This window comes from Homo sapiens, chromosome 15 (genome assembly GCF_000001405.40).
Source record: "Homo sapiens chromosome 15, GRCh38.p14 Primary Assembly".
In the NCBI taxonomy this organism is placed as follows: Eukaryota; Metazoa; Chordata; class Mammalia; order Primates; family Hominidae; genus Homo; species Homo sapiens.
In genome coordinates this window covers 75,822,884-75,843,027 of record NC_000015.10, presented here as the reverse complement: position 1 = coordinate 75,843,027, position 20,144 = coordinate 75,822,884, and the positions used below count along the sequence as shown (strand labels likewise).

Below are 20,144 nucleotides of genomic sequence, written 5' to 3'. Positions count from 1 at the left end.
ACCCGCTAACCTCACTGGGGGGACCTCGTGGGAGACGCGGGTGCGGCTCACCCAGCGTTACCTCCGCTACTTTCACCCTAGTCCGAGCCACCGCTTCGCTAGCCTGGGTTCCTGTGAGGACCTTCTCACCAGCCTGGGTTCCTGTGAGGACCTTCTCACCGGACTCGCTGCTCCCGCCTTTGCTCTCAAACCATCCATTTACCCAAGACGATGGTTTAGCCCCTGGAGGCTGTTGCCTGGAGGTGTCCCATGATTTCATCCCTTCCCTTAGCTACCACCTGTGTTCACTCTGCCGTATATAGTCTCTCTCTCCCCCCTTTCCTTATTTTGCCTTGTTTCCCAAGCTTAAGATAACCCTCCCCACCCACACCCCCATGGAGCTAGGGCTGCCCACTATTTTCACTAAACTCATAGCTCAAATATCATCTCCGGCACCCCCCACCACAACCCATTTCAAATAGTCACCCTGTGTCACATCGTCCTGTGCTAAGTTTTTGTTGGGCACCTGTCACTATCTGATCTTTAACCCATTTATTCCTTGTCTCTGCCCCGTGTTAATGTGTTCAGAGCTGTATCCCCAGGACCTAGAACAAGACCTGTTATATAGTAGAAACCCGATATGATTGAATTGAATGCTCGCTCTTATCTGGAATCCCCACCACTAGCACAATTCCTGGCACATTGTAGGTGCTCAAAAAATGAATAAAGGTCTGGATAGCAGTCCAAAGGAATACATCCCAATTTGGCAGACAATAGTGTGTGCAATCGTAAGTGCAAGAGGCAGGACCAGCTGCATATGCGTCCAACCTATGTAGTTGCACAGTGCTCCCAGCTTAGAAGGGCTTCGAGCTTGGTTTAATATTCTGGTGTCGCCATTTTGAAATTCGTAATTTTTCAGAAAGGGGCTCCGCATTTTCCTTTTCCAGTCTTACCTAGAGTTACCCAACCCTGACACCTGTCTCTTTCTTCCTAATCTACAAGAGATCCCTGGGCTACTGGTCCCCTTAGATGACAAAATACAGAACAACACAGGGACACATTAAGTCTACTGAAAGTTTTTATTTCCATCTACTTCTGAGATTTTGTATCATGTTATAGTCCTTAGCCTTTAAGAAGACAAATAAACTTTTCCAATTTACCTCAGTAAGTTAGTAGCTCCCCACAGCCTACAAATTCAGTCTCTTATCATTCAAACCAGCCCTAACTTTTCCTGGCCATGCCCCAACTTCTACCATCTTCTACCCCAACTTCTATCTAGCCTTTAAGAAGACTAAGATTCTCACAGACCCCTTTGAGAATCTAATAAAAGCTATGATCCATCTTCCCAGGAAAATACTTCTGCATCTAAAATTTTGTACTTATGGGGATTCATGACCCCAGCACTAGAGCTACCACACTATACACTGGGACTGGGAGAAGAAGGGGTTCCAGGCCTGGGTTCTGAGCCAGAAACAACTAGGCTACTGTATTAGCATTATTGCTGGGTTAAGCACAGAAGTGGCTTGCCACTTTATTTTTCCTTCAGTCCCCAGTTTCTTGGGACCCTAACAGGCATGGCATTCCCAGATAAGGATTTGAGACAAAGAGCAACAAACTCTTGAGAAGTTGGTATGACTTCGAGAAACAAAATTCCCTAAACAAGCTATTTAATCTGTCTAAGCTTTATTTTGTTACCTCTAGATTGCTGTGAGAAAATAGAGCTTTTTAAATTGCAAGTGTTTTTACTAGTTGTATCCCAGAAATATATACAAATATTAATTTCACAGTCGCTTTTTGAGCATCCATCTGCTGCATGCCAAGCTGTAAGAGGGCTAGAAAGATACATAGATACAGTCCCTGATTTTAAGAAGCTTAACATTTAGCATCAAAAACAAAATATTGTTTCCTGATGCTTTTGGCTGCAAATAATAGAAAACTGTGATTTAATCTGCCTTGGACAATAAGGAAATAAATTACTTCACATAATAGGAAGTCCAAAGACAGAACAGTCTCCAGGATTGGTTGACCTGAGCTTTCATGTCATCAAAAGTCCAAATTCTTTCCATCTCTTTTGTTGGGTTGAGAGCAAGGTGGCTGTAGCTGTTCTTGCAGTTCACATCCAGACATGAAAATATCCAGAGGCAGAAAGGACATTTTCTTCTATGTTTCCTTCTAACACATGGGAAGCTTTCCAAGAATCTTCCCAGCAGACTTCCCTTAGTGTGTCCTTGGCCAGAAGTGTGTCACATGCCCACCCCTAACCAATCACAGAGAAGTAGATGGGATTACTCTGGATTTCCAACCTGCTGGGATGGAATGGTTGCTGGGGAGTCACCATAGTCTTACACAGACAAGTAAAGACAACATCAGATCATATGTGATATGAGGTTCAAACTACTGAACTACATTTCAGGGGAGGAAGAAACTAATTCCATGAATTATTTGCATGAAAGTAGGGCCATATTCAGAGGATATTCAAGAGCCCATTTGATTGTAGAGTACAGCAAGGGGCCAAGAGAAAGATAAAGTTGAGATATTACTTTTGATCAGATTTTGAGCCCTGAAATACCATGCCACAGACTATAGTATAATAGTTTCATTTGGTGAGAGGCATCACTTTTTTTTTTTTTTCGAGATGGAGTCTCGCTCTGTCACCAGGCTGGAGTGCAGTGGCACAATCTCAGCTCACTGTAGCCTCTGCCTCCTGGGTTCAAGTGATTCTCCTGCCTCAGCTTCCCGAGTAGCTGGGACTACAGGCATGCACCACCGTGTCCAGCTAATTTTTGTATTTTCACTAGAGACAGCGTTTCACTATGTTAGCCAGGATGGTCTCGATCTCCTGACCTCATGATCTGCCCGCTTTGGCCTCCCAAAATTCTGGGATTACAGGCGTGAGCCACCGCGCCTGGACAAAAGTCATCACTTTTTTTTTCTTTTTTTTTTTTTTGAGATGGATTCTCGCTCTGTCGCCCAGGCTGGAGTGCAGTAGCACGATCTTGGCTCACTGCAAGCTCTGCCTCCCGGGTTCATGCCGTTCTCCTGCCTCAACCTCCCAAGTAGCTGGGACTACAGGTGCCCGCCACCACGCCCAGCTAATTTTTTGTATTTTTAGTAGAGACAGGGTTTCACTGGAGTAATCACTTTTAAGATTAATCTGGGCCAGGTACAGTGGCTCATACCTGTAATCCCAGCACTCTGGGAGGCTGAGGCAGACGGATTGCTTGAGTCCAGGAGTTCGAGACCAGCCTGGCCAACATGGCGAAAACCCATCTCTACTAAAAATACAAAAAATTAACAAGGCATGGTGGCACGTGCCTGTAGTCCAGCTACTCGGGGGGTGAGGTGGGAGAATCACCGGAGCCCAGGGGGTCGAGGCTGCAGTGAGTCAAGATTGCACCACTGCACTCCAACCTGGGCAACCAGAGTGAGACCCTGTTTCAAAACAAAACAAAAACAAAAAAAAAAACAAAAAAAGAAAGATTAATCTGGCATTCATATATAAAATGGATTATAGTGGGCTTAGAAGTATGCAGCCACCGAAAAGAAGCAAGAGACCTGGATTCTACATCTGGCCTGCCATTAATTCAATGGGGCAAGTCATACTCAGCTCTGAGGCTCCTTAGCTGCAAACAATGAAGAGCCTTTGAATCAGTCTGAGTCAAGAGTGAAAAAAATTGAAGTACGGGAAATGGCAGTAGAAAGAACCACACTAGGGAATCAGTGTGGAGTAGAACTGCTAGATCTTAGAAATGACGGGAGGATAGAAGGAGAGAGGGGAAATTTGTTTAAAGTAACACTTTGAAATTTCTAGAGCAGATGGCAGGGAGGGAGTGATGCCATTGACACATCAAGAAAAAGATGTTGAATTTGGTGTGCTGATGGAACGTAGGTAGAGAGTTTGTATCTTAAGTTTGAAGTTTATGAGGGAAGTCAGAGCAAAGGACACATAATTGGGTCAGCCACACAGGTGGGTGATGGTGGAAGCCATGCCATAGGTGTGATCATTGAGTCACAAGGGAGGGAAGACAACCTGGGATGTTGAAGGGACCCTGAGGAAGGCTCACCATTGGTGCTTGAGTGGGAAAAGAGTCATTTGAAGAAGTCAGAGGATGACTCATGTTGAATTTTTATGGAAGGGACAAGTTAGTTCAGGACCAAGAAAAGGCCATAGGCTTTAGGGATTAGAAGGTCAGTGGTGCTTCAGAGAAAACCATTGCAATAGCATGGTGGGCATGAGGTCAAAGTGATGTTAAAGTGAAGAGAATGTACCTAGTCTACTTTCTTGAAAAGTTTCAGGGTGTTGAGAAAGAGAAATGGAATAATGGTTTGCAATAGCAAAGCAAAGGGAAGCTTTTGTGTTTGGTTAGGTTTTTATTATAGGACAGACAGAGATGGACTCACTATGAAATAAGCTTCAGGGCCCCTCGCAGTTACACAGCCCCCTTCTAAGTAAGTATTAACTTTTCCCCCTTAATTTGATATTTGTAATTTTGTATTTTTTTTTGAAGAAGAAGAAGACTCCCAAGATTAAATAAGCTTTAGGCCCTGAAAACCCTGGATCTACCTCTAAGGAGAGAACCATTAACAGGCAATGAAGACTGGATACGAGAGAGGAGAAAAAGCATGCTACTGGGTCCTGGAAGGGAAGAGAAAACATGGGATAAAGAGTTACTCATAGAAAGGAATGCCCCCTCCATAGAGGATAGGGTTGGGGGAGAGAATTGGGGAAGACACAAAGAAATGTTGAGTTAGACTAGAGAGTTGTTGAGAGACCTCATACTGAATGGATAACATGAATTTCAGCAAAACAAGATTGGGGATTAGTACGATAGATAAAAACAGAAGCCAGAGGACAAAGAAGTACTAAAAAAAAAAAAATCTGCTTGAAAACTCTGATCTTGGAGTCTCATCTAGAAGTGCATAAAGGACCGTGAGACTAGGATGGGTTGGGAGGCTGGAAGTCTCCAGGAAGACAGAGCAGGTTCAGTGTGAAAGGAAATATGAGAGCTGCCACAGCCTGCACAGTGGAAGAATTTCAGACTTCAAGAACTTGAATGCATGCAGCCATAAACAAAGAACAAGATCATGTCTTTTGCAGGAACATGGATGGAGCTGGAGGCCATTATCCTTAGCAAACTAATGCAGGAACAGAAAACCAAATACCGCATGTTCCCACTTATAAGTGGGAGCTAAATGATAAGAACACATGGACACAAAGAAGGGAACAAAAGACACTGGGGTCTACTTGAGAGTGAAGGGTGGGAGGAGAAAGAGGAGCCAAAAATATAACTATTAGGTACTGGGTTTAATACCTGGGTGATGAAATAATCTGTACAATAAACCCTATGACATGAGTTTACCTATGTAACACACCTTCACATGTACTCCTGAACCTTAAATAAAAGATTTTTTTAAAAAAAGAACATGAATGTGGAAGAATGCCCAATTATATGTTCCATGCTATTCTGGTCTAACATATTCTTTAAGGCCGTGTTCAAATGCCATCTCCTTCAGTGAGCCTTCCCTAGTCCCCTATATTGAATTTTAGTCCCTCCTTTTCCTGAATTTCCCAGTACCTTGTCTATTACAGCACTTATTTAACTCTGCCTTTGTTATGACTAGCTGGTTTCTCATTTGTCTCCTCTGCGAGATTATGAACAACTTGTCCTAATCCTCTTCATGTCTGTAGCACATAGCCTGGTTCCTGGGACATAGAAAGCACCCACTAAATGATCGTTACGTGAATATAGCCTACTGAAGGTGAAACCCATGTAACATCCTTACTTAGAAAGACTGCAAGTAAATTGTGAGAGAAGTGATCTAGTTTGACTAAAATGTCAGGGAAGTGGTGAGGACCTCTCCCTGTCTAAAGTGAGCACACATCAGCATGTGGCCACTAGGCCCAGACAACCACAGCACTACCCAGGAGGCACAGGAAACTGAGCCCATCCCTGTTGAAATGAACAAGTGACTCATTATTCAACTGCAGCCAACTCAGCCAGAAAGTTTTTCTAAGCTACAATTTTCACAAGTTTGGACTCTGGCTTATAACAAAACTCCTATCTTTGATTTTAGTTTTAGTTAGCAACACTCATCATTTCTCTCTTGCCTGTATTATAAAGGGCTTTCAGACCAAGATGTAAACACCTTGAAGTGGTATGAATTTGGGATATATGCATATGAATGTTATTCTGGGGAGAAGATCTAAAGCACCACTGTCCAATAGAACTTTCTGCAATGATGGAAAGGTTCTATGCCTGCCACAATATGGTAGCCACTAGCCTCAGGTGGTTACTGAGCACTTGAAAAGTGGTTAGTGTGACTAAGGAACTGAATTTTGTATATGTGCTGTCTAAGCAAGCACTGAGGAACTGAATTTTGATTTTATTTAATTGTAATTAATTTAAATTTAAGTAGCCACGTGTGACTGCTGCCTACCATATTGGATAGCACAACACTAGATAATTCTATCATTTTATAATAATATCACATAGAGCTTGATATAGCCATGTCCATCCTTCCTTACCCCTTGAGAGCAGTGACGAGATGTTACTAATTATATCCTCAGTGCTCAGCACATACTTGCCTGACACATACTCAGTTCATAATAAATGTTAAATGAATGAACAAAAAAATTTCACATTTTCTCTGAACTTAGTTTTCTCATTTCCAGAATACAGAGGGTGTGTTCTGAGATTTCTTCTGGCTCAAAAAAAAAAATTCTCTTTAAAAATATTTGTTTGTTCAACACATATTTGTTGAACACCTGCTATGTCCTAAACTACTACTTCTTTGTAGCAACCTAGGAAACCATCATTATGCCCCTAAATAACTGAGTTTCAGAAAAGGGAAGTAATTTGCTTTAGATTATGCAATAAATAACTGATAAAGCCAAAGTTTTAACCCAGGTCTGTCTGTTTCCACCAGTGCTGCTTCTATATAAATTACAATTTTTAATGTAAATATTATAGATAAATATAAAATAGCAAATAAATTAGCATTGAGTGGGCAGGGTGGCATAGGAACTTCACTGGATTGGAATATTTATCTTCCTCTTGGGAAGAGCCATGTTTCTACAGATAGAGTCTTGATTGTTGAGTGAGAGACATCAGCACTTTCAGGAAGATCACCTGGGCCACTGAGAAGGAAGGATGCTCCTCCAGAGTGGGAAGCCCTCCTGACTCCAGTGATGCTGATGATGGGGGCTGGGGGTATCAGCCTGGCGTCTACTGTGGTAAATTGCTAGGAACCTTTCAGAGCATTACATCCTCTCAGTCATCAGCATATGAAAGCCTCAAATGAAAGATTTTCTCCTCATCCTTCCAGTCACATTTATACAAAACATTCTTCTGGAATGTTTAAGGCTACAAACAAGTATACAAGTGTTTAAGAGGTACAAGTGAGAACATCTAGATCTTTCTAGATCTAAGTATAATATACCTTTTACCCAGTGACTTCAAATCTAAGCATGCGTCCTAGAGAACTAATTAAGCGTGCACATCAAGATTTAGTTACCAGAGTGAGGGCAAGAGTAAATAGCTATGAGGCAACTGGAAAATTTGAACATTAAATGTTTGATGATAATATGGAATTGTTGTTAAATTTTTTTAGATGTGACAATAGTATGGCTATTACTTTTTTTTTTTTTTTTTTTTGGAGATAGAGTCTCACTTTGTCACCCAGGCTGGAGTGCTATAGTGTGATCATGGTTCAATGTAGCCTCAACCTCCCAGGCTCAATTGATCCTCCCACCTCAGCCTCCCAAGTAGCTGGAACTATAGGCATATGTCACCATGCCCAGCTAATATTTTTTTGGCAGAGACAGGGTCTCACTATGTTGCCCAGGCTGGTCTCACACACCTGGGATCAAGCAATCTTCCTGCCTCAGCCTCCCAAAATGCTCAAGTGAGCTATCATGCCCAGGTTGTTATTACTATCATATTTTAAAAACGAGAGTCCTTATCTTTTAGAGATATTTATGGATGAAATAAAACCACAAATCTTTTCTTGAAATATTTATTTCAGCTTTTTTTTTTTTTTTTTTTTTTGAGATGGGGTCTCACTCTGTTGCCAGGCTGGAGTGCAGTGGTGCAATCTCGGCTCACTGCAATCTCTGCCTCCTGCGTTCAAGCCATTCTCCTGCCTCAGCCTCTTGAGTAGCTGGGATTACAGGTGCGCACAACCACACCCAGCTAATTTTTGTATTTTTAGTAGTGACGGGGTTTCACCATGTTTGCCAGGATGGTCTTGATCTCCTGACCTTGTGATCCTTCCACCTCGGCCTCCCAAAGTGTTGGGATTACAGGCGTGAGCCACCACGCCCGGCCCCAGCTATTTTTATCATAGTAAAAGAAAGGACTCAGAGTCTTAGAATTGGATGTACCATACATTTTAATACAACCACACAATGAAATATAATACAGTCATTAAATGAGGTTGTGTGTATATCTGGAAGGATACACCAAAATGTTAACAGTGGTCATTTCTTGGTAGTGACTTCTTAGGTGATCTCAATTTTCTATCTGCTTCTTTATATTTTTTGAAATATTTGTATTGGGTTATTTATGTAATTAACATAAATATATGATTTTAAATTGGTTTATAGACATTTAAGATAGAGAGAGGTAAATCAGAGAGGAATTTTGCAAAGAAATTTTAAAGGCCCAGTAAATATGTGGCTGTTGTTTTTTCTACCACAAAAAGACACCTGAAACAGATGCTGCTCAAGGTTGAATTACAAACACTTAAACTTCAGGGACCATGACAAACAGCCAATTTAACTGACACTTTTGATGTTTTATTTTCCATTAGGAGAATTCCTGCTCCCTAGACCAAGCTGAGCGAGGGCTTTGGGTTTAGGTTACAAGGTCTTACATAGGGTTTCCTCCTCTGGTTTATTTGTTGGTCTTTCATTTAGCCTGTGGTCATTCTCTGCAGAGCCACTGCAGTGTTAATCAAGACCTCCTCCTGCTCATACTCCAGGGCTTCAAGGTGGTGCTATGTGCGGGAGGAATTTATGGAAATTCAGTCTTGATTTCATGTTTGGAGTTTACCGTAATCATTAATGCACTATAGAACTTTGACTAGCCAATGGGCCTAGAATCTATAGTCATCTCCCTTGTTACATTTAGGTCTCATCTTGCAAGATATAAAAAATTAAGTGTAACAAGCCCAGTCCTTCAGACCTAATGGACCAAGGGGAAGATAACCTGGCTCACTCAAGAAGGGGTGTTTTTAACATTTACAAACATGCTTCTCCTGCTAAAAACCTTGGGCTCCACTTAGTGATGATGAAAATAAAACCTGGAAAAAGACTGTTTGTGGTAGAAAATCAGAGAAGTGGTTGGGGGACTGGGGGTGGATTCTGGCTCCTTTGGTCACTCCCCATATAACAGGTGTCCAGTAACACACTCTAACGGAGCCTTGGTTTCTTTGTGTGTCAAGAGGTGTGTTGGATAGACAGGGTTCACATTTGTATCATTCAAACACTTGCTTAGTTTCAACAATGTGAAAGGCAGTTGCACATAGCTCTAGAGACAATAAAGATCAAGAAGCTTATAGGCCTAAGGGCAGAACAAACATGAACACCAAAAAGATCAATGTGAGAACTGGAGGATAAGTAATACGTTTTTTTCTGCTGCCCCCCGCCCCCCTCCCTTTTTTTTTTTTTTTTTTTTTTTTTTTTGAGATGGAGTCTCGCTTTGTCATCCAGGCTTGAGTGGCACAATCTGGGCTCACTACAACCTCCGCCTCCCGGATTCAAGCGATTCTCCTGCCTCAGCCTCCTGAGTAGCTGGGATCACAGGCGCCTGCCATCACGCCTGGCTAATTTTTGTATTTTTAGTAGAGACGAGGTTTCACCGTGTTGGCCAGGCTGGTCTCAAACTCCTGACCTCAGGTGATCTGCCCACCTCAGCCTCCCAAAGTGCTGGGATTACAGGTGTGAGCCACACCGCGGGCCCGTCCAGTTTTGGAATGGAGAGTGGAAGGGCAGGGGAGGCAGAAATACTTTGCCTCAATTGAAGAACTGATTTATTTTCTACTTTCTAAATATAACAGTTATGTTATTTAGTTTCCCTCTAGATTTCCAGGAAGCCCAGAGGTAGCCTTAGTTTGGGTTCTCCTAAAAGTAAATGCTGAGATACACATTCTAGTGCAAATAATTTATTTTGGAGGGGACCCCAGGAAACACTCATAGAGGATTGGGAATATGAGATAGGGAAGCCAAACAGTTTACCATGTAGGCCACTGTAGCTCAGTCCCTCCAAGGACCTCTGGGGCTGTTATAGACTGTCAGTTATCCCAATCTTGGAGGAGAAAGCTGATGTGTTTATTTCCCAACTCCCCATTCGTTATTGGTGATGGGCTGCTTCCAGGGGCATTCACCCTTTGGCATTTCCAGTTTGCATTGTGTGTGTCCAAACACACCCCCATGATAGAAGTCTGCAAATATTGGCAGTCATCTCTTTGACTCTTAGTTTTGGATATTCATGGTCTCTCAGTTATTCTCCCCAACCCCAACCATTGTACCCTTCCATAGTAAGAGTTTTCAGTGGACATGGAGCTACCTAACCAGAAACTACCTTTTCTAACTTCCCTAGCCCATAAGTATGACCAAGTAGCTAAGATACGGACAATAAGGTGTGCCTGGAAAGGATGCACACCACTTCCAAGTCTTCTCTTTAAAAGGCTGGGACATGCACTCTCCTACGCCCCCGACCACTTCCTGCTTCCTTCTGGTGACTAGCTGAGACCAGAGAGCCATCCTGGACTCAGTGATGGAAATCACATGTTGGTGAAGCAGTCACCTTTCCAGGTCTTGAATGTATTTCCTGACTGTTATGTAAGAGAAAAATTAACTCCTTTCTAGTTTAAACACTACATTTTGCTGTCTCTTTGTTATATCACCTTAGCTTGTACCCTAACCAACACACTCCCTTTCTCTCAGGACTATTTTTCCTTTTTAGCCTTATTTTATTACTCTTATTGGATTATGTCTTTTAGCAGGACTCCTTGTGCCCTTCCTGGAAAGAGATAAGCAAGTAAAAAAAAAAAAAACCTAAAGAACAGTTAAACCCCTGTTATTGATATTTGCCATATTCGTGGCTGTCAATCAGGCTTTAAATCATCTCTTTATGTTGGGGAATGTTCTGACAAAGGTAAACAAAACCACTCATTAAAGTGGTAAAAACAGGTTTTACTCAGTAACTACTGACAGAAGGGGAAAGAGTGGAGCTCCATTCCAATTTGTGCAGAGGTGCATGGGTACTTTAAAGAAAGAATGAGGCCGTAGGAGGGGGATGTGAACAGGGACTAAAGTGAGAAATGACAAAGGGTTGGTCAGTGTGAGTGAGATTAGGCCAGCTGTGCCTGCTAGCTGCCAATTATCAGAGTTAGGAATCTAGCCTCCCACAGTGACTGGAAGACAGAGGTCCAGTCCTTCTTGCTTATTACATTTCAAAGGAATGGCTTTTGGGTCCTTGAAAGAAACACTCCCAAGTTGTAGGAGATATAATACATCTATACCTCAAAGAGAAAGAGAAAGCATTCACAATTGTAGGCCATTTTTAGTAAATGCTGTACTAAGAAAGGTAGGGGCCTAACTCAGGTGTTGGCTAAAACAAATAGTAAAAATTTTTGACAGCTCTGAGCTTTTCCAGACAAAAACCCAAAAAGGGGCTAGATTGTCCCAGGGACACTGACTTAGGCTGCCAGAAGCCATGTTAAAGTTTGGTCAAGTCCCGTAGTGCAGGGGTTTGAATGGAGTGTTTGTGCCAAGAGTTTTATGCAGTCCTCAGTTCCCAAATGAGGAATCCCACCTCCTCAATGCAGAAGTCAGAACTCACATCTCCATACTCCCTTGTAGGTAGGATGCAGGCATTTGGCCAGGTTTTCTCTATATTCCTGGAAAAGGATACCAGGCTCAGGGAAAATGATCTTTAGGAAGGCCTGGTGGTGAAGATATAGGTATGTGGGGGCAGCAAGGCTGTTTCTGCCGAGGAGGCATATAACATTTGTGCAAATACTGCAAAGGGAGTTGCTCGAGCTCCTGGAATCGACTGCCACCAACAAAATGAAGCCTCGCTGCTAGGGTGATGCTGACGGGAACAGGGGCAAAAACGGTAAAAGAATAAATCCTTCTCCTTTCTCCAGCCTTTCAGTCTCCTTCAAGCACCCCTTACTTCCCTGTAAGCAAAGAAGAAATGCCAACCCAAGCCAAGAATAGAAGGGTGGGTTAAAAACTGAGAAGCAATAGCATAGTAACCAACACAGATCTGAAAAGTAGAGACGTCATATGCTTTTAGGTGTACATTATTTTGCTCACTGAAATAAATATGCTTATTTTCTTGATTTATCTCTTTTCTTGTGGGCCTAGCCTCTCTCCCTAAATGGATTTCTCCATTCCCATGGCTTTGGTCACCATCTCGGTGACCTGACCCCTAAATTTTTTTTTTGGTTTTTTTTTTGAGATGGAGTTTCACTCTTTCACCCAGGCTGGACTGAAGTGGCACGATCTTGGCTCACTGAAACCTCCACCTCCCCAGTTCAAGCAATTATCCTGCCTCAGCCCCCCGAGTAGCTGGGACTACAGGCACCCACCAACACACCTGGCTAATTTTTATATTTTTAGTAGAGACGGGGTTTTGCCATGTTGGCCAGTCTGGTCTCAAACTCCTGACCTCAGGTGATCCACCCACCTTGGCCTCCCAAAGTGCTGGGATTACAGGTGTGAGCCACCACGCCTGGCCAACCTGACTCCTACATTTCTATTTCTAAAGCAGATCTCTTTTCTGCACTGTAAGTCCTACACATCCAACTGCCTTCTCTGATCTTCTCCTCTTTGTCTCCCAGGTCCCTCAATCTTAACATGTCCAATCTTGGTCTCTTTTTGAGGCTTTGACTCCTGCAGTATTCCCTAGCTCCAGGAATGCACCCCCATTTCCCCCGTCTTATGCCAACACTGATGGTTACTCTTGGTCCCTCCTCTCTTGCTCATTTCTCACATTCACTGAGTACCAAGTTCCTTCTAAATGCTTGTGGATGTCTTCATTTCTCCCCATCTCCACTAGCCCTGCTCTGGTCCAAGCCACCATCCTCTCTTACCTGAGATGTTGGAGGAGCCCCCTAAGTCACTGCCTGCATTCACTTTTGCTCCCACTAGTGAAATCTTCTCAGTGATCTTTTTAAAATCTGGTCAGCCAGGTGCGGTGGCTCATGCCTGTAATCCTAGTGCTTTGGGAGGCCGAGGCAGGTGGATCACCTGAGGTCAGGAGTTCAAGACCAGCCTGGTCAACATGGCGAAATCCCATCCCTATTAAAAATACGAAATTAGCCAGGTGTGATGCCATATAGATGTAATCCCAGCTACTTGGGAGGCTGAGGCAGGAGAATTGCTTGTACCTGGGAGGAGGAGTTTGCAGTAAGCTGAAATCGCGCCATTGCACTGCAGCCTGGGCAACAAGAGCAAAACTCAATCTCAAAAAAAAAAAAGAAAAAGAAAAATCTGGTCATAACACTTCCATATTTAAAAACCCTCCAGTGGTTTCCCTCCACTCTCAGGATAAAGTCCAGAATCCTGACCACAGCTTGCCAGGCTCTGAATGGTCTGACTCTGCTTCCCAACCCATTGTATCCCCCAGACCATTTATACACTAGGCCACAGGTTTATTTTCAGTTATTTGAAAGCTTTATCTCTTTCCTGCCTTTGTATTAGGCTGGTGCAAAAGTAATGACAGTTTTTGCCATAATACATCTCCTTCCCTCTACCTCAATTTCACTTCCCATCTCCCAGACCCTTCACCTCACTATCTTCTACTCATCCTTCAAGTCTCAGCTTAAATGTCATTTCCTCAGAGAAGCCTTCCTGGATCTCACCACCATCATTGCCACTTGGGCTAGGTAAGGCATGTTTTTATAAGCTCTAATAGTGCCGTCTAATTCTTCTTGGCATTCATCATCTTTGTAATTGTTTATTTGCATAATTTGTTTAATGTGTCTTCTCATTACATTTAAGCCCCGTGAGGACAATGTTGGTCTTGTTCACTTCTACTATCTAGCTAGCATACCTCACAGTGCCAGGCACGTAACAGTGCCCAACAAATATTTGGTGAATGAACGAATGAGTGAGAAAAGATAATTACTTTGAGAGGCAGCATAGCATGGTAGAAGTCACATTGGAGTAGCAGCCACAGACCTGGGTTCTAACCCTGGTTTCATTTCCTGGGTAATCTTCAGCCGTAATACATTTCATTACGCTTCAGGGTCCTAGTCTTTAAAACAAAGGAATAATGGTCTCTGAGATTTCTTCAGTTTCCAAAATGCAATGAGTGTTACTTTTAGTGATGACCCAGTGACCGCATGAAAAGGTGTTTGTATGTTGACTCCAGTTCTGGAAGGGAGAGCAATACCTTTCCCCAGGCTCTCTGATTCGCCTTTCCCACATCCTCCCCATCTCACCACTTTTGGTTTGATTACGAAGTAGATATCCCTGTCATTACTATCAAACTTACAGTTGACCGATGTGTTTGGGAGATTAAGAAATGAAAGAAGTTGGCCAGGCGCGGTGGTTCACGCCTATAATCCCAGCACTTTGGGAGGCTGAGGTAGGTGGATCACTTGAGGTCAGGAGTTTAAGACCAGCCTGACCAACATGGTGAAACCCCATCTCTACTAAAAATACAAAATTAGCTGGGCATGGTGGCGTATGCCTGTAATCCCAGTTACCTGGGAGGCTGAAGCAGGGGAATTGCTTGAACCAGGGAGACGGAGGTTGCAGTGAACCAAGATTGCACCATTGCACACCAACCTAGGTGACAAGAGTGAAACTCCGTCTAAAATATAAATAAACAAATAAATAAAAACAAGAAATGAGAGAAGTTAAGGTGTGTCAAGCTTCCAGAAAAGACAGATAGCTTCCCCTCTCAGGCTTGAGAATTATAGGGTCAATTTAATGCAAGTCTCTGGAATGTTTCCCATCCTCATATGCTCTTGTGATGCTTCTATTGGGGAAAAGCCTGTTCAGATAGGAGCAGGGAATGGTGCTGAGGGCAGAAGCTGTCATGAATCCTCAGTTCACTCACTCACCATGGGCCCTGGGATGGGTTGGGGCTCGCTTGCATGTGGGTGTGTCAGGCATTCTGGGAATCCATGTCAAACAAAATCACTTCTCTACAACAGGAAGGTCTGAATCACAAGGCACTGACAAGTCGTTTAGTTTCCTCACCCTGCTCCCTTGAACTCTCCCATCCCCACTCCCCAACTCACCCCAGGGATCAGTGTACCTCCTATGCAAGTGGTGCCAGCTCCAGCCAGAAAGAGCTAGGTCCTAATACCTGCCACCCCCAGCACGCTCCCCTGGGCTACTCTTAGTCACAGACCATGCAGTTCGGGGTCTTAAAGGTCTTCTTCAAGACAGCACAATTATATTTAGAAGAACTGCAAAAAGCATTTGCCCCCAGAAATCCTGTGGCCCCATTGGATAACAATACTACCTATTCGAATGATGCCAGCAAGGACTCTCTTCTCACATTCAGGAAGGTAAGGAGGAAAAGTGTCAAAAAGATCACCCTGCAGACAAAAATATCACATTCCCACAAAATCTGAGCTGTAATGAGCTTCTTCAGAGAATTATACTTAATTGGTCACTTTTCTAAGGTGGAATGACTTGCCAGTTTGCTCAGCCTAGGGCAGACTAGCTGCGTAAGATTGTGTGCATTATTCAAGCAGAGAGTACCTGGTCTGGGGAGCTGAGAGCCAGCCCACACTGTATTTTTTCAAGCCATGTGTTTTGGGGACTGTGTCCTTCCACAGGCCAGGCCTTTTTCTAATTTGCACAAAGGTGTTATGTGAGCTATTGGTTGCTCTGGCCTAGGCCTCCAAATCTGGAAGGGATAATGACCATGTAAGGAAGAAGCACGGGTTCATATCATGCCTTGGGTCCTCTCCTTATTTTCACCTCCTGAAAAATGTTATCTTATTTCTCCAAAATAATGTCAGGTCATTTATTCAGTAAACACGGATTGTTCGTCTTGTCTGTGCCGGACAGGGTACTATGTTAGGAGGCTATATCAGAAAACATTTCCCAAGAGAAATTCAGAAGGCAGATTAGGATAATTCAAGGAGGAGATTTATGAACAAAATAACAATTTATAAAGGCGAAGCTGTTGGGGGAATAGTGTAGTGAGAGCTGGTAGCAACCAAGCTCTTATCATCCCTAGGCTTGAAGACTCGAGGGGAGGGAGTGATTACTGAAATCAGTTGGAATAAGAGAATGACGGAGAGCAATGTTGCTCAGAGTGCAATTTGCACACCTGTGCAGGTCTTGCAGGTCTCTGCACACTGTTGACAGTCTATGATAAGATATGTACGGCAATTGAAAGGAGATGTTTAGAAATTTTCATAACAATTCAACATTGCCGTAACATCAAAGTGTGTGATTAGCGTCAGAAAATGTAGTTTGGAGTTTAGGCTTTGTGTAGGAATGTGTCCAGGTAAAGCAGCTTAAATGACAGGGAAACATTCTGGGATACTTACTCAGATTGAGAAGCTTGCACCAGGGCTGGGCGCAGTAGCTCATGCCTGTAATCCCAACACTTTGGAGGCTGGGAGGCTGAGGTGGGCAAATCGCTTGAGCCCAGGAGTTTGAAGACCAGCCTGGGCAACATGGCAAGACCCTGTTGCTACAAAATACAAAAATCAGCCAGGCATGGTGGCGTGTACCTGTGGTCCAAGCTACTAGGGAGGCTGAGGTGAGAGGACCACCTGAGCCCAGGAGGTCGAGGCTGCAGTGGACGACACAGTGAGACCCTGTCTCACAAAAAAAGAAAAAAAAAAGCTTGCACCAGAATGCAAGTAAATACACTGCTTTCCTTCTTGAGAAGTCAGGTTCCCTGTCCCACCTCCCATAACAACAAATGAATGAATGAATGAAGGTCAGCTAAGCTTTCAGTGTGCTAGGTGACACAGTAAAAAGTGTTAATTCTATAAAGGCTTGCTAATGTGTTCAGTTTGAGATTGTTTTCTTTACTCTGTAATAATATGGAATGCTGATCATAAACAATTGTAATTATATGCTGACATATGATGGTTACTTAAGGGAAAAGTTCTGTCAAGAAGATTTGAAGGATAGAGTGAAGCTGTGCTTCTGCAAGACAGAAGACCAGTGTAGCCCCAACTTTTTCAGGCTGTAAATTAGACAGCCAGATCTGTTTTCTTGTTTGACATCTTGAGTATTTTAATGATGTTAATACTTTCATGCAAGGAAGAAATACAAGCTTAGAAGAACAGAATTTTTACAAATTGGGATAGTGCATTTCATTTCTTAACAGTTAGCGAAGTTGGTGGTAATTCTGATATTGCACATATGTTAAAAGTTAACAACAAACATCTTACAAATCTGATAGAACATTTTCAATTTATTTTTCATCAAAAGGAGATTCACACATAGGAAATGAATGGATCCAGAAGTATCACTTGATAGAATAAGTTAATCATGCTGGCTTCTAATAAAGGATTGGAGATAAATTTTGAAAACATAGCATTACTTGCCTAATTTTTTTTTTTTTAGATGGAGTCTTGCTCTGTTACCCAGGCTGGAGTGCAATGGTGCAATCTTGGCTCACAGCAACCTCCACCTCCCGGGTTCAAGTGATTCTCCTGCCTCAGCCTCCCGAGTAGCTGGGATTACAGGCGCCCACCATCATGCCCAGATATTTTGTATTTTTTAGTAGAGACGGGGTTTCACCATGTTGGTCAGGCTGGTCTCGAACTCCTGACCTCAGGTGATCCACCCGCCTCAGCCTCCCAAAGGGCAGGGATTACAGGCGTGAGCCATTGCACCCAGCCCACCTCATTTTTATAGAGATAAAAAATGAATAGCCTGAGCCTGCTGAAATTGCTTCAAATCTCTTCTATGCCAGTTTTAAAAACATACTTTTTAAAACTGACTTTTCTACTATAAGTGTAATTTTTTTCAATGTTGAAATCATTTGTATATACTTCTTACTATGTGGGTATCAATGTTGTCAATCCAACCTAGATCAGATAAATTAAAAAGCAATTTCTTTGTCACATCGAAAACTTAATGTATTGATATATGTATTGCTCTTTGAGAGTATTGTAGGCCTTTAATGTGGGCAATTACTATATTATCATCATTTTTTATTTAGATATGATTATTAACCTATAAGAACTTAGCCACGTAGCAGCAATTCTCTATGTTAATCACCTATATGCAGACTTTCAATGAGCAACATATGTAGTTTTTTTGTAATTCTTTTTTCCCCTATGTTAGATTTTTCCTGATTATCTATTTTTTAATACAACTTTATGACTTTAAATGTAGGAATAGAAATCTAGTTTTATATCTTGCAAGTTATTGCTTTTTAATTTTTCTAATAATATTTTAATAATTCATGTTTCACTGCATTTCGTAAAAGCACTATGGTGCACTTCATTGTAAGTAATATAAAACAAACCAGCTCTTAACCCCAGATAGTCTAAGGCATGCTCCTGTGAACTTCAGTGAGGGATGCTGCTAGTCTACAGCCATCCCCTAGGGAGGGAGCCTCAGGAACAAATGCCCTGACTGCCCTCCCCTCCTCCAGTCTCCCACTGGGGCTTTCTCCCACTGGCCCAAACCAATCAGAAGCCAGAGGGCCTAGGAACCCTATAGATGCAGTCCTTACAGGTCAACCTCCAGGACAGAGGGCAGGATGGAGGACAGGAGAAGGGATATCTGGGAGGGCATAGGGATCAAAATAAAAGCCACAGTTCGTGTCCCAAGGTGCAGGTTATTTTATAGAGTCATAGGCAGATAGACAATTAGAGGCAGTGTAATCAGTGCCAGGATAGAAGGAAAACTGGGGTGCTATGGGAATACGTATCTAACCCAGGGCACATCTAATGCAGCCTGGGTGTTCAGGGTCAGGGGTGGAAGGGGATAAAATGGCTTCCTCGGGAATGTGACGTCTGAACTGAGGAATGTGGGAAGAACAATAGGCCAGGAGACAGGCCAGCGGAGAGTGGGGGTAAAGGTGACAGCCCATGCAGGCACGGAAGCCAAATGACGTGAACAGAGAATGCAAGCAGGTAAGGCAGGACAGCTGGGCTTGCTCAGATCATGAGACATCTTATCCTCAGGCCAAGAGCTTGACTTTATCCTGAAATAAATCAGGTAGAAATCTCAAGCTACCGAAGGAATGATTGAGAAGGTTTTGAGTAAAAAAGTTTTGATTCAAAAAGCCAGAGGAAAAACAGCAAGAAGCAACAAAGTTTAGATTCAGGAAGGAACAGAGATGATTGTAGTGATAGCTAAGTCTTAGAGAGGGCTTATTCAGTGTGCTGCCATACACTGTCCTAAGCTCTTAATATGTGTTAATTCATTTAATATTTCCAGTGATGCCCCCAAATAGATACTGTTATCATTCCCACTTTACAGATGGAGAAACTGAGTCACAGAGAGGTTGGGGAATAGCCCCAGTTCACACCACCAGCAGTAAAAAGAGCCAGGATTTGAATCTAGGCAGTCCAGCTCCAGCATCTGTGCTCTTAACCCCATTCTGGGGTGGAAGAGCAAGCCAGCGTAAGGAGACTGAGCACAGGGGTGGGAGATAAAGCCTACATCGGCTTCCTCACTGTTTCCTCTATGGAGAGTCCAGTGGGCATGAAAACCATGGCAACTACCCTCTTCCAAATCAGCTATTCCTCAATGCCTTATTTGTCCTAAGACGCCCAAACCTGTCATCTGTGCTGAATGTATTTTCCTCATTTCCATTTTGCATCTTGGCTTATGCTATACTGGCAAGGAGGCAAGAGGCAGGAGACCTAGACCCCAGTCCCAGCCTGACTCTCTGGCCCTGCTCAGGTCACTAACCCGATAGGACACCTGCCTGAAGCAAGCTTACTTCTCCCAGTGGCTCCCCTTTTGTCTTTTTGTACCACCTGATACAAGTTTGCTGTCTTTGCATTTTCTCTGCTTCTGGACATTTTGGCAATTGTTAACTACATTATTTCATTCTTGGTCTCTGAATCCAGACGTTTGCTTTTCCAATTGATCCATGTTGCTTATGAAGTGCCTTGTCATCTATTAATCCAGGATAGTTACTGAGTTATTGTAGGTGGCACAGCCACCAACTTGGTGTGTGTGTGTGTGTGTGTGTGTGTGC

General features: G+C 43.0%; 1 annotated feature.

Moving 5' to 3' along the window:
* Positions 18,826-19,120: an enhancer, noted in NCBI's record as "tiled region #8353; HepG2 Activating non-DNase unmatched - State 4:PromP". NCBI's record gives its function as "activates a minimal TATA promoter and a strong SV40 promoter by Sharpr-MPRA in HepG2 cells {active_cell/tissue: HepG2}" and the evidence as "EXISTENCE:reporter gene assay evidence [ECO:0000049][PMID:27701403]".